The following is a 27254-nucleotide window of genomic DNA, read 5'->3' on the forward strand; positions in this document are numbered from 1 at the left end:
GTCTGAGAGCCAAATTTGCAGAGTCAAGATGAGAACAGTAGCTTTGAAAGTGCAAATTGAGGCTGAGAAGGAAAGATACAGCTCTTGTTTGGGACATCTTGCTTCTTACCCTCTCCGTGGTCCCTCGGTCTATCTAATTCCTTACCTCTCTACCAACCTACTCCTCCATCTACTCTCCTCTTGTATTCAGCCTCAAGGGGGTAGTATAGCCACTGATGCTAGAGGAGAGGCTTACTGGAAGAAAGAATCATCAAGACCTAAATTTAGGGTAGATTATTAAAAACAAAACAAATATAACCAAACCAAACCCAACCAAATTAAAGCAGCAGGGCACAAATGGTACATGCCTGCCTATAATCCCAGCTACTCAGGAGGCTGAGGTGGGAGAATCACTTGAGTCCAAGAGTTTGAGACCAGGCTGGGCAACATAGTGAGACCCCATCTCTACAAAAAGTAAAGATTAAACCTTTCTCACTGCCAAGATACACAGCCTGCTAGTATCTCTGATATATTTGTTATGAGTTGAAATATGTTTCTCAGAATGTGACTGTATTTGGAGATAGAGTCTTGAAAGAGGTGATTACAATAAAATAAGGTAATTAAGGTGGGCTGTAACCTAAAATCACTGGTATGTTGTAAGAAGAGGAAATCAGGATATAGACATGTAGAGATGGAAGATCACATGAAGACACAGGGAAGAGACAGCCATCTACAAGCCTCAGAAAAAAAGAAGCCTCAGAATAAGCCAACCATGCCAACACCTTGATCTTTGACTTCTAGAACAGTGAGAAAATAAGCTTCTGTTGTTTAAACCACCCAGTCTGTGGTACTTTGTTATGGTAGCCCTAGCAAACTAACACAATGCTACTATAAGAAATAATAATAGGCTGGGCGCAGTGCTCATGCCTGTAATCCCAATACTTGGGGAGGGTGAGGTGGGAGAATTGTTTGAACCCAGGGGTTTAAGACCAGCCTGGGCAATGTAGTGAGACCTCACCTCTACAGAAAAAAAAAAAAGAAAGAAAATTAAAAACTAAAACTTAGCTGGCTGTGGTGGTGCACACCTATGGTCCTGACTACTCAGGAGGCTGAGGAGAAAGGACGATGTGAGCCCAGGAGTTTGAGGCTGCAGTGAGCCGTGATCGTGCCACTGCACTCCAGCCTGGGCCACAGAGCAAGACCCTGTCTCAAAAAAAAAAAAAAAAAAAAAAGAGAGAAATAATAATAGCTAGTATGGTTTTTGAGTGTTTAGTGTGTGCCATGTTTTGTTTGATATGGTCTATGTTTTTAAACTTATTTAGTACTCACAACAACTGTAAGACAGTATTACTTTTATTTCTTGTATGTGGATGGGGAAGCTGCAGTAGAGAGGTTTAATGTTGTGTTAAATAGCTAGAAAGAACGCAAAAGTAGAAACTAGGTAATCAGAGAAGTTATGTGTAGTCTTGCCCTGAAAATATTAAATATCAACTGTTTCCACAAATCAATAAAGGAAACAAAGACAACTCAATACAAAAATAGGCAAAATACTTGAAGTTTCACAAAAGGTGTATCTACATATCTACGTGACCCATAAATATATGAATGGCTGCTAAGCCTCTGGTGGGTATGTAGTGCTACTGCATTTTATTTTTTACTTTACTAAGAAATGCAAATTTAAAAGGAATTGAGATTGAATGTACTCTGTGCTGCCTGCCACACCCCTTTTTATGTTCTAAGCTTGAGACACCTCTGACTTCCTGCATTGCTGCAGGGAGAGTACCATGATCCTGGAGTTTTTTAAGACTTTGAAGATGATACTCTCCCTCCTCTGCCTTTTTTTTTTTTTTGAGACAGCGTTTTGCTCTTGTCACCCAGGCTGGAGTGCAGTGGCATAATCTTGGCTCACTGCAACCTCTGCCTTGGGGTTCAAGTGATTCTTCGGCCTCTGTCTCCCGAGTAGCTGGGATTACAGGCACCCGTCACCATGCCTGGCTAATTTTTGTATTTTTGATAGAGATGGGGTTTCACCATGTTGGCCAGGCTGGTCTCGAACTCGTGACCTCAGGTGATCCACCCGCCTCAGCTTCCGAAAATGCTGGGATTACAGGTGTAAGCCACCGTGCTCGGCCTTCCTCTGCTCTTGCTGCTCTTGACCAAAATAAAATTGCACCATCACTGTGACTCAGATGAAACCTCTCTGTTTTCCTCTGGGTTCCTATTGTACTGCATATGCCCCTTATCATAGTACCCACATTGATTGTAATTGATACATCTGTCCCTCTCATTGGGCAATTAGCAATGTGGGGTCAAGGACTGACCGAATTAACATTATAGTTTCCTGAAGCATTGAGCATGTGGCTATAATATATTCTGTGGTTGACACATATTTGTTGAAATAATCCTAACGCCTTATTATGCTCTTTTGTCAGATTACTTTTCAGGTTTATGCTGGGCTATGGCTATGATTTCAATGAATAGCTGAAAATTAAGAGTTTGATGTTTTGTAAATAAGTACCTTAATGGATTTATTTGGCATTGTCTACCAACAGTGCTTATTGATTCTGCTTTCAGGAGTTTTGTTCTCCACTTATGAACTAACCTAAGTTGGTTTGGCCTTTATAATTGTCCAGTTGTTTTTAGAAGATATCTACAAGGCCGGGCACATGGCTCATGACTGTAATTCCAGCACTTTGGAAGGGCGAGGTGGCGGATCATTTGAGATCAGGAATTTGAGACCAGTTTGGCCAACATGGCAAAACCAAGTCTCTACTAAAAATACAAAAATTAGCTGGGCCTGGTAGTGCATGCCTGTAATCCCAGCTACTTGGGAGGCTAAGGCAGGAAAATTGCTTGAAGTTGGGAGGGGAAGGTTGCAGTGAGCCGAGACTGCACCACTGCACTTCAGCCTGGGCAACAGAGCAAGACTCCATCTCAAAAAAAAAAAAAAAAAAGAAAAAAAAAGGTATCTACAATCTGAAAGGACTAGAGGTGGATAAGGACAAAAAGCCTGGGCTGCCACAACCTTGCCACATATGGGTGTTATATTACAATGAAAGTGGGTCTCAGATGAGAGTGTGCCACACATTTGAACACTTCTCAGCAAGCGACACAGTGATGTAACCTGTTCTGCTGGCTCCTGACGTCCCTTTTCTCTGTCATTTTGGGTATGCCACAAGCACCTTGAATGAAAAGTACATGATGATGGCAGGAAAAGTTAACCTTCCAGCTGAATTAGATATTAAATTCTCCATAAGGAAGATAACTAGAAGCTGAGTTTTGATTCTAAGACATAACTTGAAGATGTTAAGTTGCTGGGCTCACCAGGTTATTTTACTGTACACCTGGAAAGGTGAAGATACCTGCAGAACATATTTAAGCAACCGCATTTCCTGAACACCACTCATTTTACCAACGAAAAATCATTTCTGATACTGTCTTTGCCAGTTAGAAATGCTTTAGAAAGCACTTTCATTTTTGACGTGCTTGCAAGCCCTAAGAAGACTCTTGATTAGGATCTTTCAAATGTTAACTAGCTGCTATTACAGTGTGAGCTTCTAGTTAAAATCTTCCAAATGTTAATTAACTGCATCTAGGATATAGATTAACTACACATACACATAACTATTTATACTAAAGTACTTAAAAGAAAATTATAGTTGTACACAATATTGCCATGGAATTTTCCAGAGTTGTACCAATTTACACTCCCAGAAGAAAATGAGAGTTCTAGTTGCTCCACATCCTCACCATCATCACTGCATTCTTTAAAATTTTTAATTTAGCCAATCTGATGGGTACATACTGCTACTATATTGTATTTTTAACTTGCATTTCTCTGGTAGTTAACAAAGCTTAGCAGCTTTTCATATATTTATGGGTCATGTAGATACGTAGATGTGCTTTTTGTGAAACCTTTCAAGCCTTTTGCCTATTTTCCTATTGAGTTATCTTTATTGATTTGTGGAAACAGCATATATTTAATATTTTCAGTGCAAGAATATAAATATTTTCTCTGATTACCTAGTTTCTACTTTCACAGTTCTCCTTCATGTTAACGTGGTTGTTTATCAGTAAGAATTTTATCTAGAGTTGGATTATGCACCAGTCACATTATATGATCTTAGTGGAAAGCTAGGGGAAATGAGAAAACATTTCATGTTTTAAAATGAATGTACGTTAAATTCATTTTGTTTTATCAAATGTTTGGTAATTAGAAATTTTTATTAATACTAATCTAAAATATTAAACAATAGAAATCCCACAGAGGGGAAAATAAAAGGAAGATGTATGGAAGGACAAAAGTATCTGCAACTTACTAATCTTAGATATTATGACTTACTCATACAACCATGTTTTGTAGAACCATAATTAGAATGCTTCTTTCTGACACACTGGTGTTGTTAAATTGCTATCAGATCCTTCTTTTAAGATATTTGGCCATCAAAATTCACTATGAATCCCCACAGCTTTTCCTTCAAGTATATCTTCCAAATGAATCAGTCTTCTGAGTGCTTTCTACTTGGCAATTCCTTTTAAGTTCCAAAGGTTTCAACATCACTAGAGCCCTTATTTTTCTTCTATGCATCAGAGAAAGGGTAGCGAACATTAAAGTGGCATCATGATGCTGATGAAAATATAACTAGTTTTTGCAATCGGAAAAAGGGAAATTTCTAGAACAAGCTTCCTCCAACAGAGTTTTCAAGCAGCAACTGCTGTCTAGGCATTCCCTGAAATGTTTCTAGAAGGAGGTGAGTTGATGTTACTAGCAATGACTTGAGTTCACCAAAGTTTTATAGCTTCCTGGGGAACAAAAGATTTAGATAATTATTCAGTGTTTCAATACAGTAAGAGTCTTTCAGATTGCTAAAAGATCATTAGCCTACCTTATGAAATATTTTATCATCAAATTTGAGCAATAATAATAAGATTTCATCCTGTTTAATGAAAAATGAGATCCAAGAGTGACCTTTATCTTAAATTTTATTCCTGTAACCACGAGTATTATTCAAGGTTTGTTCTTAGATTACTGACTTTTAAAAATTTTTCAAATGTTGGGTTGTGAATAGATACAGAGGTCTGTTTATGCATCAGGTATTTGAAACAGTGGATATTGTCTAATTTTCCTGAAAGGTTAGGAAGATTCCCCAAGGAGATAGACCTTGAGAAGAGTTTGAAAGAGTAGATGACTTGACAGAGGCAAAATTAGAGTGTAGGTGAGAAATGGAGTGTAGTAAAGGGCATACACAGGTAAGTTTAGCAAGTCAACTTGCTGAGGGCAAGCTTAAAATGACAGCTTTGAAATCATATTCAAAGTACCCTGAAGGAACTGTAAATCAGTTCTGTGGATGATAGGTTTTACAAGGCATATCACTGAAACTTGCTAAAATAACTGCATTTTAGGTATGCTATGAGAGCTGAGCTGTGCTTTAATGAGCTCTATACTTAAGCTATCACTGTTCCTTTTGTGTGCCATAGTCACATTTTCTTCATCTCAATAGACACTGTACATTATTTTAATTATATCTTATTTCTTTTTTCTCAATTGTGATATTATTTCTAACTACAGCATCATATTTTATGAATCTCAGTTTTTTTAAGTTTACATTTCTTTAATTACTCCATTGTAGACAATTTTTTTGGCCATAAAATTTGCACAGACATCTTTTTTTTTTCTTATTTTACCTTTCTCCACAAACTTGTTAGGTTAGCTCAAGGAATTTTATCATCTCTATCTATAATCTCTTCTAATATTATAATACCCATTGGAAAGTCCTCCTTTATATCCATCCAAAATCTCTCACGTTGCCTTGCCTTCTTTTATATATTAAGTAGACACTAAGAACAGGTTATTGTCTTTGAAATAGCCATTGTGGGGTGGAGCCAAGATGGATGAATAGGAACAGCTCCAGTCTACAGCTCCCAGCGTGAGCGACCCAGAAGACAGGTGATTTCTGCATTTCCAACTGAGGTACCAGGTTCATCTCACTGGGGAGTGCCAGACAGTAGGTGCAGGACAGTGGGTACAGTGCACTGCACGTGACCCGAAGCAGGGAGAGGCATCGCCTCACCCAGGAAGCACAAGGGGTCAGGGAATTCCCTTTCCTAGTCAAAGAAAGGGGTGACAGATGGCACCTGGAAAATCGGGTCACTCCTACCCTAATACTGCGCTCTTCCAATGGGCTTAACAAATGGCACAGCAGGAGATTATATCCCGCACATGACTCGGAGGGTCCTACACCCACGGAGCCTCGGTCATTGCTAGCACAGCAGTCTGAGATCAAACTGCAAGGTGGCAGCCAGGATGGGGGAGGGGCGCCTGCCATTGCCCAGGCTTGAGCAGGTAAACAAAGCAGCCGGGAAGGTCGAACTGGGTGGAGCCCACCACAGCTCAAGGAGGCCTGCCTGCCTCTGCAGGCCCCACCTCTAGGGGCAGGGCACAGACAAACAAAAGATAGCAATAATCTCTGCAGACTTAAATATCCCTGTCTGACAGCTTTGAAGAGAGTAGTGGTTCTCCCAGCACGCAGCTTGAGATCTGAGAATGGGCAGACTGCCTCCTCAAGTTGGTCCCTAACCCATGAGTAGCCTAACTGGGAGGCACCCCCCAGTAGGGGCGGACTGACACCTCACATGGCCCGGTACTACTCTGAGACAAAACTTCCAGAGGAACAATCAGGCAACAGCATTTGCGGTTCACCAATATCTGCTGTTCTGCAGCCACTGCTGCTGATACCCAGGCAAACAGGGTCTGAAGTGGACCTCCAGTAAACTCCAACAGACCGGCAGCTGAGGGTCCTGACTCTTAGAAGGAAAACTAACAAACAGAAAGGACATCCACACCAAAAACCCATCTGTACATCACCATCATCAAAGACCAAAGGTAGATAAAACCACAAAGATGGGGAAAAAGCAGAGCAGAAAAACTGGAAACTCTAAAAATCAGAGCGCCTCTCCTCCTCCAAAGGAACGCAGCTCCTCACCAGCAATGGAACAAAGCTGGACGAGGAATGACTTTGACGAGTTGAGAGAAGAAGGCTTCAGAAGATCAAACTACTCCGAGCTAAAGGAGGAAGTTCGAACCAATGGCAAAGAAGTTAAAAATTTTGAGCTGAAAACCATGGCACAAGAACTACGTGGTGAATGCAAAAGCCTCAGTAACCGATGCGATCAACTGGAAGAAAGGATATCAGTGATGGAAGATGAAATGAATGAAATGAAGTGTGAAGAGAAGTTTAGAAAAAAGAGAATAAAAAGAAACAAACAAAGCCTCCGAGAAATATGGGACTATGTGAAAACACCAAAACTACATCTGCTTGGTGTACCTGAAAGTGACGGGGAGAATGGAACCAAGTTGGAGAACACTCTGCAGGATATTATCCAGGAGAACTTCCCCAATCTAGAAAGGCAGGCCAACATTCAAATTCAGGAAATACAGAGAACACCACAAAGATACTCCTCGAGAAGAGCAACTCTAAGACACATAATTCTCAGATTCGCCAAAGTTGAAATGAAAGAAAAAATGTTAAGAGCAGCCAGAGAGAAAGGTCGGGTTACCCACAAAGGGAAGCCCATCAGACTAACAGCTGATCTCTCGGCAGAAACTCTACAAGCCCAAAGAGAGTGGAAGCCAAGATTCAACATTCATAAAGAAAAGAATTTTCAACCCAGAATTTCATATCCAGCCAAACTAAACTTCATAAGTGAAGGAGAAATAAAATACTTTGCAGACAAGCAAATTGCTGAGAGATTTTGTCACCACCAGGCCTGCCCTAAAAGACCTCCTGAAGGAAGCACTAAACATGGAAAGGAACAACAGGTACCAGCCACTGCAAAAACATGCCAAATTGTAAAGACCATCGATGCTACGAAGAAACTGCATCAACTAACGAGCAAAATAACCAGCTAACATCATAATGACAGGATCAAATTCACATATAACAATACTAACCTTAAATGTAAATGGGCTACATGCTCCAATTAAAAGGCACAGACTAGCAAATTGGATAAAGAGTCAAGACCCATCAGTGTGCTGTATTCAGGAACCCATTTCACATGCAGAGACACATACAGGCTCAAAATAAAGGGATGGAAGAAAATCTACCAAGCAAATGGAAAACAAAAAAAGGCAAGGGTTGCAATCCTAGTCTCAGATAAAACAGACTTTCAACCAATAAAGCTCAAAAGAGACAAAGAAGGCCATTACATAATGGTAAAAGGATCAATTCAACAAGAAGAATTAACTATCCTAAATATATATGCACCCAATACAGGAGCACTCAGATTTATAAAGCAAGTCCTTAGTGACATACAAAGAGACTTAGACTCCCACACAATAATAACGGGAGACTTTAACACCCCACTGTCAACATTAGACAGATCAACGAGACACAAAGTTAACAAGGATATCCAGGAATTGAACTCAGCTCTGCACCAAGCAGACCTAATAGACATCTACAGAACTCTCCACCCCAAATCAACAGAATATACATTCTTCTTAGCACCACACCACACCTATTCCAAAATTGACCACATACTTGGAAGTAAAGCTCTCCTCAGCAAATGTAAAAGAACAGAAATTATAACAAACTGTCCGGCCACAGTGCAACCAAACTAGAACTCAGGATTAAGAAACTCTCTCAAAACTGCTCAACTACATGGAAACTGAACAACCTGCTCCTGAATGACTACTGGGTACATAACGAAAAGAAGGCAGAAATAAAGATGTTCTTTGAAACCAATGAGAACAAAGACACAACATACCAGAATCTCTGGGACACATTCAAAGCAGCGTGTAGAGGGAAATTTATAGCACTAAATGCCCAGGAGAGAAAGCAGGAAAGATCTAAAATTGACATCCTAACAGCACAGTTAAAAGAACTAGAGAAGCAAGTGCAAACACATTCAAAAGCGGCTTTGAGGGGAGGGGTAGTATGCACTCCTTGGACTTCTTCCACTTCAGGCTCCCACACTGTGATCAACAATCATTGTCTTTGTGGTCTGCACTCATGGTGCAGATGATACCTAGTGGTGGCTTTGCTGGGTGGCATGTTTGGTTCCAGTGTAACCATACAGTGCAGGAGACAGAAAATCCCACAGTGATGCAGCTTCTCTTCTTCCCCCATCCCTTGTAAGTGATCCAGCTGCTTCTGCCTGCCCTTGCAGCACACCTTTCTGGAACTAGAAAGTTCCCTCCTTATTCTGGAGGCCCAGCAAGCTTATGAATGAGTCCTCCCCACACTCCTCTTGAGTCCTCAGTCACTACAGAAAGGATGAATCCTATTATCTTAGAGCTGACTTAGCAAATTAGCACACACTTGGTGGCTTAAAATAACAGAAATATATTCCCTCACAGTTTGGGAGGCTGGAGATCCCAGATCAACCTGCCCACAGGGCCTCTCCAGGGCTCTAGGGGAGAATTCTCCCTTGCCTCTCCCAGCTCCTGGTGTCTCCTGGTGTTCCTTGACTTGTGGCTGCATAACTTTACCTCATGCTTGATATGGCCTCTCTTCTCCCTGTGTCCATGTCTTCTGTCTCTTATAAGGACACTTGTTCTTGTGATTTAGGGCTCATCCAGATAATATAGGATGATCTCATCTTGAAATCCTTAACTTAGTTACATCTGTAAAGACCCTTTTTCCAAATAAGCTCCCTTTCACAGGTTGCAGAGCTTAAGATGTGAACCTATGTTTTGAGGGCCACCATTCACCAAGAGACAGTAGGGGAGAGTCTGAGGTCGATGGTATAACTATTCATGCCATGCTGCCATATCTCTGGCTTCCTCCAACTCATTTGGGTGAGACCAATTTGTAGGTTTGTCACTCTAAAGGCGTAGACAGGAAATAATTCTAACCCCTGTTCTTTTAAATGCCCTCTAAACTTCATGAGGAGCTTACTTGTGTTTTGTTCCCTCCGTCCCAACCTCTCTCACCCCTACTCCCTTAAAATTCTGCTCTAAGAGGTCAAGGGGAACAAAATCCATCAGTTTTCTCACTGTTTGTACTTACACTGTTTTGTGCTTGCAATGGTCACTACTCCCTTTCTTACCATCCCCCTCTACACCCCCCTTTCCCCACACCAACCCGATCAATTTTTTTTTCTATGCACAAAACTATCTCCAATCTTTTGGTTTTACATTAAGAATAGAGCTTCTCTAGATGTAGCAATTTAGGGTCAGGATCTCTGCTGTTGGGGTGAGCCCTCTACAATACACTGGAAACCAGTAGGTTTCGCCTCCAGATGGGAGAACCCACAGTAACGGGAAGGACTCCACCCCACTGACACTTGGCAACTCATCCTGTCCCACTTACAAATTGAGAAAGCTCACTCATCTCCACTTAAAAAATGCTCTACTTTTAGTTGTTTTAAGTGCCTAGCGGTTGCTTGAAAACCTTAAATCATTTCAGTTCTTTTTCATTTGAGAAGCATTATCACCCACAAAAAAAACATTTTAATACAGTTCTTTCAAATGGAAAATAAAGTGATTTGGGGCTGATGACAACTCAGGAACCATTTCTAATCTTTCGAAATAAATGAACCCTTATCTGTCCTTTTTGAGTATTTTAATGGGTTTGTGCAAACTGCTACAAGATTGATTTGGCTGCAGTTTCGCAGAGTTGGTTAGAATGAATCTATCAGACATAGAGTTGGTGCCTTAGCAAGGAAAGTGCAATTGGGATTTTGTTCCCACGGCCCCCAAATTTAGAATTTATAAACATTGTAAAAATGTATTTTAAAAGATTTCTCCTTTCTGCAGCTCAGAAAATGTCTCTTCTCAGCAATAGAAATGGGTGGAGGAAGAACATCTAGGAGGCCAAAGATTTCCAGCATCTGAAAAAAGAGATGCTTTGGGGGTGTGAAAGGAGTCATCCCAGGAAGCTGGGAGAAGTGGAAATTTGGAGGTGGAGGGACAGACAAAGAGGACTGAAAGGGCTGAGCACATGATAGAGAGTAGGGAGAGTGTGAAGACAACAGAGGGTTCTGGCATAATGTTGTGTCAGCCGAGGGAATGTGCCTACAGAGATCCCCCAAAGGCTGTCAGCACACCCATCCACTTGCCAAATTATCACAAACTTAGCAGCTTAAACAACACAAATTTATTATCTTACAGTTCTGCAGTTCAGAATTCCAACATGAGTCTCGCTTGGCCAAAACCGAGGCATTAGCAGAACCACATTGCTTCTGGAGACTCTAGGGCTGAATCCATTTCCTTGCCTTTCCCAACTTCTAGAAGCCGCCCACATTCCTTGGTTCACTGCCTCTTCCTCCATCTTCAAAGCCTGCAACGTTCCTTCTCTATGACCCTACTGTGTTTGCCAAATCTCCCTCTGACCAAATCCAGGGAAGATTTTCTGCTTTAAGGACTCCTGTGATTAGATTGGGCCCACCTGGACAATACCAGGATACTCTTCCCCATCTCAATGTCCTTAATTGCATGACATTTGCAAAGCCCCCTTTGCCATATAAGCTAACCTTTTCATAGATTATGAGGGTTAGGAAAAAGACACTTCAGGGAGCCATTATTCTGCCCACCACAGATGGCATGAGTTACCCGGTCCGGGGCAGCTACAAGGGAAACTTCACCGACATCCTAGCTCCCCACCATCTATCATGTGAGATATTTCTTGTGAACATAAAGTGGATGTTTCCCACTTTATGTTCCTGTGATATTTTCTGTGAACATAAAGTGGGTGTTTCCCACTGTGTCTGGGTGTTTCTACTTGCCTGTCAAAAAAAGAATCATGGAACTTCTGTCCCCATCTCCTAGAGACACCTGTGGCACGTTCAGGGAGGTGAAGCAAAACCGCTTGTTAAGAGGAAGCTTTCCTTGCCTGCCTGGCTTCCCATACTGAGGCTCAGCTGGAGGATTTGAGGCTAGCTTTCCTGGTGCCTATTGTGGTCTGTGTGCAATAACCTTGCTTGCTTACTAACTGTATCAATTTCTTAGGGCTGCCGTAATAAAGTACCACAAACTGGGTGGCTTAAACAACAGAACAGTACTCTCTCACAGTTCTGGAGGCTGGAAGTCTGAGATCATAGTGTCAGCTAGGCAGTGCTCTCTCCGAAGCCTCTAGGGGGTGGGGCCTTCCTTGCCTCTTTCAGCTTCTATTGTCCCAGGTGTTCCTAGTTCGTGACAGCGTAACTCTAATCTCTGCCTCCATCTTCACGTCGTGTTCTCCCTGTATTTTTGTGTCTTCACATGGCTGTATTCTTATAAGGACACTGGTAATGTGGGATCAGAAGCCCATCTTACTCCGGCATGACCTCATCTTAACTAATTACATTTGCAAAGACCCCATTTCCACATAAGGTCATATTCTGAGGTACCAGAGGTTAGGATATCAACATTTCTTTTTTGAGGGGGAAACAATTCAACCCATAACACTGACCAAGTTTATGTATCATATGTGTGTTATATTCCTGTAGTTATTTTTATATATTCTAGCTTTTATTTTTACTCCATTTCCATGGTCAGTCCAGATTGGTGCCTGATATTGTTTGGCTGTGTCCCCACCCAAATCTCAACTTGAATTGTACCTTCCAGAATTCCCATGTGTTATGGGAGGGACCCAGGGGAAGGTAATTGAATCATGGGGGCTGGTCTTTCCCATGTTATTCTCATGATAGTGAATAAGTCTCACAAGATCTGAGGGGTTTATCAGAGGTTTCGCCTTTGCTTCTTCCTCATTTTCTCTTGCTGCCACCATGTAAGAAGTGCCTTTTGCCTCCTACCATGATTCTGAGGCCTCCCCAGCCATGTGGAATGGTAAGTCCAGTTAAACTTCTTTTTCTTCCCAGTCTTGGGTATGTGCCTACAGAGAACTAATATAGAAAACTGGAACTAGTAGAGTGGGCACTGCTGAAAAGATACCTGAAAATGTGGAAGCAGCTTTGGAACTGAGTAACAGGCAGAGATTGGATCAGTTTGAAGGGTTCAGAAGAGAGAGGAAAATGTGGGAAAGTTTGGAACTCCCTAGAGACTTGTTGAATAGCTTTGCCCAAAGTGCTGATAGCAATATGGACAATAAAATCCAGGCTAGGGTGGTCTCAGATGGAGATGAGGAACTTGTTGGGAACTGGAGCAAATGTGACTCTTGTTACATTTTGGCAAAGAGACTGGTGGCATTTTGCCCCTGCCCTAGAGATTTGTGGAACTTTGAACTTGAGAGAGATGATTTAGGGTATCTGGCAAAAGAAATTTCTAAGCAGAAAAGAATTCAAGAGGTAATTTGGGTACTGTTAAAGGCATTCAATTTTATAAGGGAAGCAGAGCATAAAAGTTTGGAAAATTTGCAGCCTGACTATTCAATAGAAAAGAAAAAAACATTTTCTGGGGACAAATTCAAGCCAGATGCAGAAATTTGTATAAGTAGCAAGGAGCCTCATGTTTATCCCCAAGATCATGGGGAAAATGTCTCCAGGCCATGTCAGAGAACTTCATGGCAACCCCTCCCATCAAAGGCCCAGAAGTCCAGGAGGAAAAAATGGTTTTGTGGGCTGGGCCCAGGGTCCTCATTCTGTGTGCAGCCTTGGGATTTGGTGCCCTGTGTCCCAGCTGCTCTAGCAATGGCTGAAAGGGTCCAATGTACAGCTTGGGCTATGGCTTCAGAGGGTGGAAGCCCTAAGCCTTGGCAGCTTCCACATGGTGTTGAGCCTGTGGGTGCACAGAAGTCAAGAACTGAGGTTTAGCAAGCTCCGCCTAGATTTCAGATGTATGGAAACACCTGGATGCCCAGGGAAAAGTTTACTGCAGGGGTGGGGCCCTCACAGAGAACCTCTGCTAGGGCAGTGCAGAAGGGAGATGTGGGGTCGGTGCCCCCACAAAGAGTCCCTACTGGGGCACTGCTTAGTAGAGCTGTGAGAAGAGGGACACCATCCTCCAGACTCCAGAATGGTAGATCCACCGACAGCTTGCACCATGCACCTGGAAAAGCCACAGACACTCAATGCCAGCCCGTGAAAGCAGCCAACTGTACCCTGCAAAGCCACAGGGGCAGAGTTGCCTAAGACCAGGGGAACCCACCTCTTGCATCAGCGTGACCTGGATTTGAGACATAGTCAAAGGAGATCATTTTGGAGCTTTAAAATTTGACTGCCCCACTGGATTGTGGAGTTGCATGGGCCCTGTAACCCCTTTGTTTTGGCCAATTTCTCCCATTTGGAACAGCTGTATTTACCCAATACCTGTATCCCATTGTATCTAGGAAGTAACTAGATTGTTTTTGATTTTACAGGCTCATGGGTAGAAGGGACTTGCCTTGTCTCAGATGAGACATTGGACTGTGGACTTTTGAGTTAATGCTGAAATGAGTTTAGACTTTGGGGGACTGTTGGGAAGCCATGATTGATTTTGGAATGTGAGGACATGAGATTTTGAGGGGCTAGGAGTAGAATGATATGGTGAGGGACTTGGGGGAGGTAATTGAGTCATGTGGGGGCTGGTCTTTCCCATGCTATTCTCATGATAGTGAATAAGTCTCACAAGATCTGATGGGTTTGTCAGGGATTTCTGCTTTTGTTTCTTCCTCGTTTTCTCTTGCTGCCACCATGTAAGAAGTACCTTTCACCTCCCACCATGATTCTGAGGCCTCCTCAGTCATGTGGAATGTAAGTCCAATTAAACCTTTTTCTTTCCTGTCTCGGGTATGTCTTTATCAGCAATGTGAAAACGGACTAATACAGTGGCTTCCACAATATGTTCCTTGCCCAAATTCACAACCACATTTCCAATTAAAATGTAGTAGATGGCTGCTACTGCCATATTTACTTCAAAGACTATCTTACCTTTCAAATAATCTTTTCTAGTTTCTCTGATTTTAGTTCTATTTCCTGATACCTGGATCCTCACTCCCAGCAAAGTGGGTCTATTCTGATGATTGGCAGTGGATACTAAAGTTTTGTGTTGAAAAGCACTGGGAGGCCTTCAGGGCTCAGTGGAGAAGGACATCATGCTTATTTAATGATGTCTGCCACAGTCTTAGTGGTATTGTAGGGGCATGTGAGCAACATGCCAAGTATTTCCTGATTCTGAGCCTCTAGGGCCTTGCTGGTCTTGAATTTGGTTTCCATCAAAATCTGTACACCTCACATTACTCCTTTCAACATCATGCATTGGAGCCCTTTGGAAGTAATAATAATAAATAGCTATTACTTAATGAAAATTTACTTTGTGCTGGAAACCGTGATGAACCTAATATATGTTACATAATTTAATTCCTAATTTAATTAACTATGCAGTTCTATTGGTAGGTAATATTATTTCACCTTCACAGACAAGAAAAACTAAGAATTAAAATTATTTCCCAGCTGGGCACGGTGGCTCACACCTATAATCCCAGCACTTTGGGAGGCTGAGGCAGGTGGATCACCTGAGGTCAGGAGTTTGAAGCCAGCCTGGCCTACATGGCAAAACCCCATCTCTACTAAAATTACAAAAATTAGCTGGGCATGGTGGCACGTGCCTGTGGTCCCAGCTACTCGGGACGCTGAGGCATGATAATCTCTTGAACCCAGGAGGTAGAGGTTGCGGTGAGCCAAGATCACACAACCACACTCCGTTGCAGCCTGGGTGACACAGCGAGACTCTGTCTCGAAAAAAATTATTTCCCAAAGTCATAGAGATAATTGTTGTAAAACTGGGATTTATAGCAGTTTCTGTCTGACGCCAAAGATTTTTCAAATCTGAGGTTCTGGACCATATCCCTTAGCCCTGTCTGACCCTCTGGAGTCTCTTACTTCCCAGCTGGCATCCTTCACACTGAACTGTGCTTTGGTTGCACCTTTTACAAAATGTAAACTTAGCATGTGTTATTATGTGCAGAGTGGGACAAAGGATAGTTTGTTCCAGCCTGTATGTTTCCATGCATAATGCTTCTTAAAAGGGATACTTATGAATAGCATTGCTGACTGAATAGTAACAACATTCCATTTTTGTTTATAATGTATTCTTGTAAGAAGATCATCTATTAGTAACATTAATTGAAGCTGAATTTTTCATAAGGATTACACTTAAGTCTTGTTGGCAAGACTATGAGCTGTTTCATAGGCTGCAGAGAATGATGTTATATTCTGGGATGTTTTTCAGACTTCCATGAACTATGACCCTACTAAGAAGTTCTTTTGTTAGAAGTGTATTATAAGTCACATGTTTACAAGTTAACTCTCACCTCTTCTTTCACTATGAACATGCCTAGCAAAGCTCAAGCAATCTGCACAGGAGATATAACATTTTAGGGATTTTGAACACAAAATGATTTCATTTTGAGTTGACCTATAACAGTTTCTTCCTGTCTTAGGATTTGATAATCAAATAAATCAGCCATTAGCCTATCATAGGAATTGAATTTGCCTAAAATATATCATAACAAGGCCAGTGGAAAACTATGTAAGGGTATTCAAGTATTTAGTAAGGAGAATACAGATCTGTCCCAAACTATGGCCATTTAGAGTGAGGGAACTAAGGCAGAACCAGATAAAGGAAGTTAGGTTTCAAACTTAGCAAGTGAAATTTTATGCTTGGTGGATTACATGCTTCACTACAGGGATGTCTGAAGGCAGTGGCAGTGGGAGCTCTTGGTATATCCTTTTAGGTTACAGTGTACAATCCTCAGAAGGGAGATTTAGGTCCTGTGCAAAAGCACCAACACATATTGAAAACATTCACAAAGCTAAATTTCTTCCAAGTGGACTGTTAACTGCTAGACAACAACGTGCTCATTTACAATATAAAAATAAATGGGTCATTTAAACTAGGTTACCATCAGATCAAAATGAGAATAGGGAGGCTTACATGAAAGAAGAAAAGGACAAAGGGAACAGTGAACCTGTAAACTCTGGTGTCTACAAATGTCTGCAGGGCAGGGAGGGTGAAGACACCTTAGACTGGGCACTTCTGAGCAGACCTTACATTTGTGGGTTTGCATCTCTCTGGAGGTGTTCTATGTGTCTGTGGGAGCATGTGACTTGGTCAATATGACAAATGGCCACTAAGGAAATAAATAAAATTCACATTGAAGGAAAGAGCTAGCCAGGGAAAATCTGGGGCATAATCTTTTGAATAAACAGCAGTAAGGAAGGCAGAATGATATTTTAAGTACACAAGAAGTGGCACAGAGGACAGCTTTCACACTTCAAGAGAGCTGTAAGAAAACTTGTGATGTATGATGTTATTTGTGAGTACAAGAAGGAAGACCTCAGGAGTTTATGAAATACTTCTAAGAAATCAGATACATATATATGTGAAAGGAAGCATTTCATTATATTAAGAGTGTCATTTGTACTATTTTATTATTAATAAAGGTCTAAATCTATTAGATGCCTTAAAAATACCATGCTGAAAGATTAAAACAGAAATAATAACCTGCACATAGAAACTTTGATCTATAGCAATTCATAGTTATGCTTACGTATCTTTCAGTTGCTTATAGCTCATCCTACTTAAATAAAATAAAGGAAAAGATCATCTAAAGAGCATAAAGTTTTCTACTGCTTTTTGTGAAAGGAAGAGATATGTTTCTTAAGTAGGAAAATAGCCTTATTAATATGTTAATGACAGTGAATATACAAAACAAAACAAAAACAAAACTGTTGTGGAAGCCAGAGACAGACAGGCTTTAAAAGAATATACATGGAAAATAACACTTTGGGATAAATACATCACTAATCAAAGCCCCAGCCCTAATAATTGGAAGTTTGATGAATAAGATGTATATGAAGGACAATATTCATGCCACTGAGATGGAGAGCATGTGGATTCCTGAAACACCATGTTCTTGCATGGAACAAGCATTTTATAAAACCCAAAAAGTCAATTTTTCATCTTGTTCTGCCCCTTTCACCCTCACCAAAATGGATCCAAATACAGAACACCTATTAATTCTGCTATTCTAAAATAAGCATTGAGTCATCCTTTTTCTTCTGGTTCAATCAACTCAGCTTCTTAGACTTCTCTTGAGCCAGGAAGCTTTACAGGCATTCATCATTTCTGATTCATTCATTCTTTTGTTCTGCATCTTAAAAGCTCTGCAGGTTTGGAATTGATAATAGAGTTGCAATCGCTTTCAAAAACAGTCAACAAATTATTCTTGAACACCAGAGTGGTGCACACAGCATGCCAAGAGTATAATGACCACAGGTGGGCTTACGTGGCTACTAAGTACAAAGCCCTTATAGGAAATGGAAAAAAAAAAATGGAAAACATGGCTCTGCCACTGAGGCTCTTCGAATTTGATTCTAATAGAAATGACTGTGTAGGACTGCACAGACCAGCCCTAGGAAGTGAAGGCAAGCACAAATGCTCATCCTACTGGTCACTATTCATCTGCCTGTTCTGAAGCTGTGAACTATTCTCCTCTCCCAAGTTCACTGGATTTCAAAATTCCAAACCCCCAAAACGTCTTTGGGCAATCCCAATGTTAATGGAATGGGTCCTGATAGGCTACCTTTTGTTTAATTGGAAAGGCAATACACACGTTTTGTTTTAAAAATTTAAATAGTAAAAAGGAGTTTTTAGTGAAAAGTATATTCCTGTCCTCCCCACCCTAGATTTCCAGGCTCCCCCTCCAGGGATAATCATTACTTTCACATTCTTGTAACTAGAAAAATTCTACTGCAGTATAAAAATAGATAAATAGCTCCACCCCCCACTTAAAAATAATTTTTATTTTTTAGTACAGTTCAAGATTTACAGAATAATTACACAGACAGTACATAGAGTTCCATATGCTCAACCCCACCCCCTGCTCTTGTACCCAGCTTTCCCTATTATTAACGGCTTGTATTAGTGTAGTATGTTTATTAAAATTAATAAATATTGATACATTAATTTTAACTATAGTCCATAGTTTACATTAAGTTCCACTCTGTGTTTTATGGTTCTAGGGGTTTTGACAAATGTATTACATAATGACATGTACCTACTATTATAGTTTTTTTTTTCTTATACAGAATATTTTTATTGCCCTGTCCTTTCCCCATTCATTCCTCCCTTACTTATACTCTGCTTCTTATCCGAACCCCTGGCAACCACCGATATTTTTACTGTTTGTATAGTTTTGCCTTTTCTAAAATGTCATACAGCTGGAATCGTATAGTACATGGTCTCTTCAGACTGACTTCTTTCTTTAGCAATATGCATTTAGCGTTCTTCCATATCAAAACCGACTTTTTTCTTTAGCAATGTGCATTTAATGTTCCCCTATGTCTTTCTGTGGCTTGATAGTTAGTTCATTTCCTTTTATTTTATTTTATTTATTTTTTTGAGACAGAGTCTTGCTCTGTCGCCCAGGCTGGAGTACAGTGGCACGATCTCCGCTAACTGCAAGCTCCGCTTCCCGGGTTAACGCCATTCTCCTGCCTCAGCCTCCCGAGTAGCTGGGACTACAGGCGCCAGCCACCATGCCACCACGCCCGGCTAATTTTTTTCTTTGTACTTTTTAGTAGCGATGGGGTTTCACCGTGTTAGCCAGGATGGTCTCGATCTCCTGACCTCATGATCCGTCCGCCTCGGCCTCCCAAAGTGCTGGGATTACAGGCGTGAGCCACCACGCCTGGCCTTCCTTTTATTATTGAATAAAATTTCATTGTATGTATGTATCACAGTGTATCCATTTATCTATTGAAAAACATCTTGGTTGCTTCCTATTTCTGCAGATTATAAGTAAAGCTACTATAAACATTTGTGTGCAGGTCTTTATGTGGGCCTAAGTTTTCAAATCGTTTGGGTAAATATCTAGGATCATGGTTGTTGGATAGTGTGGTAAGACTATGTTTATCTTTATAAGGAACTGCCAAACAGCCAAAGTGGCTACACCATTTTACATTTCTACCAGCAACGAATGGGTATTCCTGTTTTTCCACATCCTTACCATCACTTGATGTTATCTGCTTTTCCGATTTTGGACATTCTAATAGGTATTTAGGGTATCTTGTTTTAATTTGCAATTCCCTAATGACATATGATTATCATCTTTTCATATGCTCATTTGCAGCTGTGTACCTTCTTTGGCGAGGGATCTGCTCAGATTATTTGTGCAATTTTTAATTGGGTTGCTTATTTTCTTACTGTTGAGTTCTAAGTGTTCTTTGTAATTTTAAACAAAAGTCCTTTATCAGATATATGTTCGCAAACATTTTTTTTCCCAAAATGTTTCTTCATTCTCTAACAAAGCAGAAGCTTTAAATTTTAAGAGTCCAACCTATCCATTTTTTTCTTTGTGAATTGCCCTTTTCATATTGTATCTAAAAACTCATCACCAAACCCAAGATTACCTTGATGTTCTTCTGTTCTATTCCATAGGTTTTACAGCTTTGCCTTAAATTTAAGGCTAAAATCCATTTTGAATTTTTTGTATGTAAAAGGCATAAAGATTGTGTCTACTGGATTCACATTTTTTTGCATATGGGCATCCAATTTTCACAGCACCATTTGTTGAAAAGATTATCCTTTTTTCTATCGAATTACCTTTACTCCTTTGTCAAAGATCAGTTCGTGTAAATCTATTTTTGGTCTACCAATCTGTTCCACTGATCAATTTGTCTATTCTTTCACCAACACCATGCTGTCAGCATTACTGTAGCTTTACAGTAAGTCTTAAAGTCAAGTAGTGCCAATCCTTCTAATGTGTTCTTCTTGGGTATTGTGCTAGCTATTCTAGATCCTTTGCCTTTTCATACACATTTTAGATTCAGTTATTTGACAGCTACAAACTAACTTACTGCAGTTTTGATCAGGATTGTGTTGAATCTATAGATCACCAGCTGTCTTCTGATTAGTACTAATACTGCCTATTTTTTTGTTTATTTTAGCCTATTTGTGTCTTTATATCTTAAGTGCATTTCTTATAGGTAGTTTATTGTTGGATCTTGCTTTTTCATCTACTTTGACAAGCTCTGCTTTTTAAATGGGAGTATCTAAACCACTTATATTTAATTTATTTATATCATTAGTTCTAAATTTACCATATTTCTGTTTGTTTTCTGTTTGTCCAATTCATTCTTTCTTCCCTTTTTCCTCTTTTCTGTATTTTGTATTTATTGTAAATGTATTATGATTCAATTTTATCGCCTTTTTAATATAACACTTAAAAAATTTTACAGGTTGCTTTAAGGGTCATAATGTAGTTAAATGGTGAGCCAAATATGACATGCACACTGTATTGTATCACCCATGAGCTGAGAATGAGTCTTACGGTTTTTAAAGGGTTGTAAAACGAAACAAAGGAATTATGCAACAGACTCTATTTGACACACGAAGCATAAAATATTTGCTATATGGACTTTTATAAAAAACATTGCCAACTCCTATTGTAGAAATAAGTGTACCCAATTTTTAAAATCTTTTCATTTTTATGATGATACCCACAATTCTTTCCTAATATTCTATATTTGTGGGTTTTTTTATTTTAATTAAATAGGCTTGCAAGAATTTGAGTAACTTTATTAGTTTTTCTGAAGAACTGGCTCTTATTTTTATTATTTCATTTTATCTTCTTTGTTGGCTTGTTAATTATAACTCTTTGTTTTCTTATCTTATGGTTAATTTAGGGTTTTATGATGTACATATTTAACTTATCAAATTCTACCTTCAAATGATAGTATACCACTTCACATATAGTATATGAACCTTACAACAACATACTTTGATTTCTGCTGATCTATTTATTTTTTAAAAATTCACTTCTCTCTCTGTACTTAATTTTGGATAGTTTCTATTGCTATCTCTTCAAGTTCGCTATTTTTTTTTTTCTTCTGCACTGTCTAAATTGAGGCTAAACTATTCTAGTGATTTCTTCATTTTAAATCTCGTACATTGTGGTTTTCATCTACAGAAGTTTGATTTGGAATTTTAAAATATTTTCTGTGTCCATGCTCTACTTTTATCTTTTGAACACATGGAATATAGTTATATATACCCTTTTTATATTTTTGTGTACTAATTCTAATATCTGTGTTAGATCTGGGTTAATTCCAAGTGATTGGTTTATCTACTCATTATGGGTCATATTTTCTAGTTTGTTTGCATACCTGGTAATTATTGATTATGAGATTCCAGACATTGTAAATTTTACCTTGTTGGGTGCTATATGTATTTTTTGTTCCTATAAATACTTTTGAACTTTTCTGTGATGTAGTTAAGTTAGTTGAAAACAATTTATCATTTCAATTGTTGCTTTTAAGATTTGTTAAGTGTGAGCAGAACATTGCTAAGTCCAAGGCAAATGGTTCTGCATTTCTGATATAAGATGCTCCTGTGTTCTCTATCCAACATCCTGTGACTCTTGAGACCTTACAGTTTGACTGGTGGGAAGAGGGCACTATTTTCAGCTCTATATGAGCAGAAGGCACTGCTGCCTTTAATCCTTTGATATGACTCTTTCTTTGGCCACAGGTACATGCACTAACCATGACTCATCTGAATACTTGAAGACCCCTTTTGAAGACTTTCAGACTTCTCTCTCTGTGAACTCTCTCTACTCTAGTGCTTTGTTCTGTGAGCTTTCACTGTCTAGGTTTTCCCAGACTCTCATCTCCATCTTTTTAAGGAGTCCACCAGGTTTTGCTTGAGTTCCCCTGGCCACTCCCGTGGACTGTGGCCTGGAAATGCTCTCAAGGCAAGAAGCTGAAGCAATAGTTGGGCTCATCTCATCTGTTCTCTTCTCCCAGTGGTTGCTATTCTTCACTGCCTGGTTTGAATGTCTTTTGGTTGTTTCAGGTAGGAGAATAAATCCAGTCACTTTCAATGTATCTTGGCCAGAAGTGTAAGTTTACACTGTTCTTTTTAACTTTTACAAAGTATTTCATTTTATGAATGTGCTGAATTTTTTTTAACCAATTTTGATTTAATTGATGATGTTTGGGCTAATTTTTTTGTATGTTATTATTGCAGAAAAATGCTATAGTGAAAACCATTGCCTCATTGTGAATACAGCTATATCATATTTTAGAAGCTAAATTCCTCCAACAAAATGTGTATGAATTTTAAATTTTGATTAACATTAAAAAATTGCCCATCAAAAGTTTATACCAATTTTCATCCCAATAAAAACGTCTGCGAAAATGTATTTCTCTAGAGATCATCTCTCAGATTCCCATTTTCTGTCCCATCTAAATGCTTGGTAAATACGAAAGAATGTATGGAGAAAAGTTTTAAAATTTCAAAGAATCTTAGTATTTGAGTTTTTTCTCTTATACCTGTTATAAATGATTCTAAATTTGCCCCTCACTTGCCCATACACATATACACATTCTGTTAACAACACATAATTTATATATTATTTAATTCTCATAGCATTATCAGACAGAGATTATTACTATTTCAAACTTACAGATGAGAAAATTAAGGCACATAGACATCTAGTAACATCTAAGTTCATGTAGTTTTATCCAGAGGTTCTTGGACTTCCTGTCTGATTGCCACCCCTGCAAAATCTGCAGCTGGTCTTGTCTTGTTCTCAGTTTTGGCTGCCCTTCCTCTATCCTTCAGTGACTCATGGGAGCCTATGACTCTGCCTTAGCCTGGAAAGAGGAGGATCTAATTAGAACTCTAACTCCACTCCTGGTGTCCTACCCTTGCCTTGTCTATACCCGTCAGGGTGTCTGGAGGGGTCCCAGGATTTTCCGTGCATCAGAACTTGCTGCTTGTACTCTGTCCACCAGTTCTGCCCTCTTGAGATACACTGTTTCCTGAAACCTTGTGAATAAAAGAAAGTTTTTCTCTTGCCTGTGCTACTGGCTTCCTGCCATCCCACCCTGACCTTGCAGAGAGACCTCCATCACCTCTTGCTGACTCTTCCACTGTTTCTGGCACCAGGAGAGTCTATTCTTTCTTCTCTTTGTGTTTTTCACTACTATAAATCTTGCATTTTTTCCCCTGAGCAAATCCTGACTTTTCTCTTCTGATGGAACTTCCTAATGATGTAGTTATTGCCAGAATACTAAGTCAGTATCTATCTTTACATGAGGCCAGTTTCTCTGATGCATCAGTCCTACCTGGAACATTGACTCCATGCCCTTCTAGTGCATTTTGGGTCAAGCACATCATTTTATTCGTCTTTCCCACACCATCAGCATTTTTATTCCCTCACACAGCATCAGCTCCTATTATCATCAGAAAGAGGATCACCATCCTTGCAGTTTAAAATCCAATTCTGTTTATCTTTTCTCTTTCTTGGCAGCTGAGCTGGGACTCTGCCTGGATATAACTTATGGCCTATTCTATATGGAAAGTTGGTTTTCTCACAGTTCCACTCCCTTTCCAGATATCAGCAAATGGCCCTCCTAGCCCAGAAGTCTCCAGAGAGGTATTTATAATAGTCAAATTAGTGCAAATTTATAATTCTTTATCTTTAAACATTTGGAAATTGAAATAAAAATAGTTTCCCAGAGCCTTTTGCTGCAATGAAATTGGTAATCTTATTCCAAAGGTTTTTATGCAGAGTTAACATGACCAGGCAATTTTACATGCAGTAGAAATAGAAAAAGAATTGAAGTTGTTAACCAATAACAGAAAGTGTTTAATTTAGATTTAAGGAAGAAGACTTTATGTATGGAAATTTTTGAAGAATGGGATTAAACCTATTTTAGTTTCCTGCCTTGGGCATCATGAGCAATTGCACTGTGGAGTAGGAAGAGTTGAGATAGTTGGCCATCCTAGCTTCCCTGAAAGTCATGCTCCTTAGGACAGGGATGGGTGCCTGCAGGAGAGTTTGTTCTCACTGTTCCTGGCCATAGTAGATTGGTCATAGGAAGACAACTGGCTAAAACAAGAACAATAAATTTAATTCTTAGAAATGTGCCATTGGAATTTAGAGAGCACAGCCTGTTACCTGGGACACCGGGTTTGGAAGCAGTACAAACCTAGGGGTGATGGCATTGCCCATCATGTGCCCCAAGGAATAGCCAAAGTTAATTCTGGAGTATGAAAAAATCAGCCTATACAAACAGAAATACAAGAGCGAATGACGATGGTGCCGAGGAGAGCAGAGACTGACCAGTTCCTGTGAAACCTGGCTGTCCTTCCTGATTGTAGGTTACAGGCAAATCCCTGGTGTCCTCCCAATACATTGCACATACTGTATTGTTATGCTGAATGTGTTCTGTAGCTTGCAATTAAACGACATTTAATGCAGAGAGAGGTAAATTATAACATTTTGGATCATTTAGGAGAAACCACCCTGAAAGCAGAAGGAATTAATAACATTGGAAGTTTTCTTCTCTTGATATAATTGAGTGAAAAGTACTGTTCTTAGCTAAAGGTTAACTTGCATAGGTACAGCTATCTTATGCAGGACTCCTATCTTGAAAATGGGTAAAAATAACATTTTAAGTAAAAAGTATATGATAATAGTGTTACATTCTGCTACTAAAAATCCCAATAATAATTTTAATCCTATATTTATTGAATACTTAGTATTTATCAAGTATGTAAACACTTTGCATGCATTTGCTCTACTACTGTCATGGGTCACTTAAGGACGAGGATATCTTATGGGAAATGTGTCATTAGGCGATTTTGTCATACGAACATTGTAGAGTGAACTTACACAAACCTAGACGGTATAGCCTACTACACACCTAGGCTATTTGGTATAGCCTATTGCTCCTAGGCTACAAACCTGTACAGCATGTTACTGTATTGAATACTGCAGGCAATTGTAACACAGTGGTAAGTATGTATCTAAACATATATAAACGTAGAAAAATTACAGTAAAAATATGGTATAAGATAAAAAAATGGTGCCACTATATAGGGAACTTACCATAAATGGAATTTGCAGGACTGGAATTTCCTCTGGATGGTCAATGAGTGAGTGGTATGTGAATGTAAAAACCTAAGACATTACTGTGCACTGCTATAAATTTTATAAATACTGTACACTTAGGCTACATTAAATTTATAAAAAAGTTTCTTCAATAATAAAGTAACCTTAGTTTACTGTAACTTTTTCAATTTATAAGCTTTTAAGTTTTTAAAAACTTTTTGATTGTTTTGTAATAACACTTAGCTTAAAACACACATTGTACAGTTGTGCAAAAATGTTTTCTTTTTTGATAGCCTTATCCTATAAGGTTTTATTCTATTTTTAAACAAACATTTTTATTTTTATTTCACTTTTTAAACTTTTTTGTTAAAAACTAAGACACAGACACATACATTAAACTAGGCCTACACAGGGTCAGGATCATCAATATCACACTGTCTTTTGCCTCCACATTGTCCCACCCGAAGGTCTTCAGGGGCAATAACACATATGGGAGCTGTCATCTCCCATGATAACAATGCCTTCTTCTAGAATACCTCCTGAAGGATCTGCCTAAGGCTGTTTTACAGTTAACATTTTTTATATTAATAAGTGGAGCATACTCACAAATAATAAATAGTATAATAAATTCATAAACCAGTAACACAATCATTTATTATCAAGTATTGGGTACTATATATAATTGTGTGTGCTATACTTTTATATGACAGTCATCACAGTAGGTTTGTTTATACCAGCATCATCACAAAAACATGAATAATGCATTGTCCTACAATGTTACGGGGCTACAATATCACTAGGGGATACAAATTCTTCAGCTCCATTAAAATCTTATGAGACCACCATGGTATATATAGTCCTTCTTTGACTGGAATGTCATTATGTGCTGCATAGCTGTATTTCAACTTCATAGCATGAGGACTATTTTTGCCTTGATATTGTTATATGATTAGAAATATGAGGTAACCTCAGAATAAATTATCTTATTCCTATTTCAGAAGAAAGACCAATAGAAGGACCAAATATGATATGGTCTCTATGCCATGTGTCATCTTCTGGTTATAATATAGTTTGTGGATTTCTTAAAATGGCCAAGTCAAGCAAAATACACATAGCCTGACCAATGTAGTGATATCATTAGCTTCTATATTCTAGACAATACATTTCAATTAATTAATTAATGCACTCATAAGTCAACAAAGATTTAGTTGAAATCTAATGGAATTAGATTGGATGAAATCTATATGGAAGATATTCTACTGAGTGCTAGGGGAGTAAAAATAAATTAGAAATAGTGGTGGAAGGATACATACAAACAGGCAAGTGTTATTGCAAAAGTTAGAGCAAAGAACTGTGGCTGCACATTTTCTAGGAGGAAATCAGAAGTAGATGCTTGGGAGGTGTCAGGAAAGCTGAATATGGGTGTATCAAGAGTGGCAGAGGAGGAGAAGCACTTCAGGCAGAGGGAATACACAAGCACAAAAGCACAAAGCCTTGTGGTATTTTCAGAACAGC

At 39.3% G+C, this 27254-nt stretch overlaps 2 long non-coding RNA genes across 2 annotated transcripts in view; one reads left to right on the forward strand and one right to left on the reverse strand.

Moving 5' to 3' along the window:
• The window catches only part of LINC00534 (long intergenic non-protein coding RNA 534), a 166472-nt gene that overhangs the window by 105901 nt on the left and 33317 nt on the right, over positions 1-27254 (forward strand). The window contains exon 3 of the long non-coding RNA NR_051989.1: positions 24153-24278. This is a non-coding gene — a long non-coding RNA (long intergenic non-protein coding RNA 534). The remainder of the gene's footprint in view (positions 1-24152; positions 24279-27254) is intronic.
• Positions 1-27254, reverse strand: part of LOC124901975 (uncharacterized) — a 267232-nt gene that overhangs the window by 32280 nt on the left and 207698 nt on the right. The gene's annotated exons all lie outside the window — the stretch shown is intronic.

Source organism: Homo sapiens, chromosome 8, assembly GCF_000001405.40.
Source record: "Homo sapiens chromosome 8, GRCh38.p14 Primary Assembly".
Classification (NCBI taxonomy): domain Eukaryota; kingdom Metazoa; phylum Chordata; class Mammalia; order Primates; family Hominidae; genus Homo; species Homo sapiens.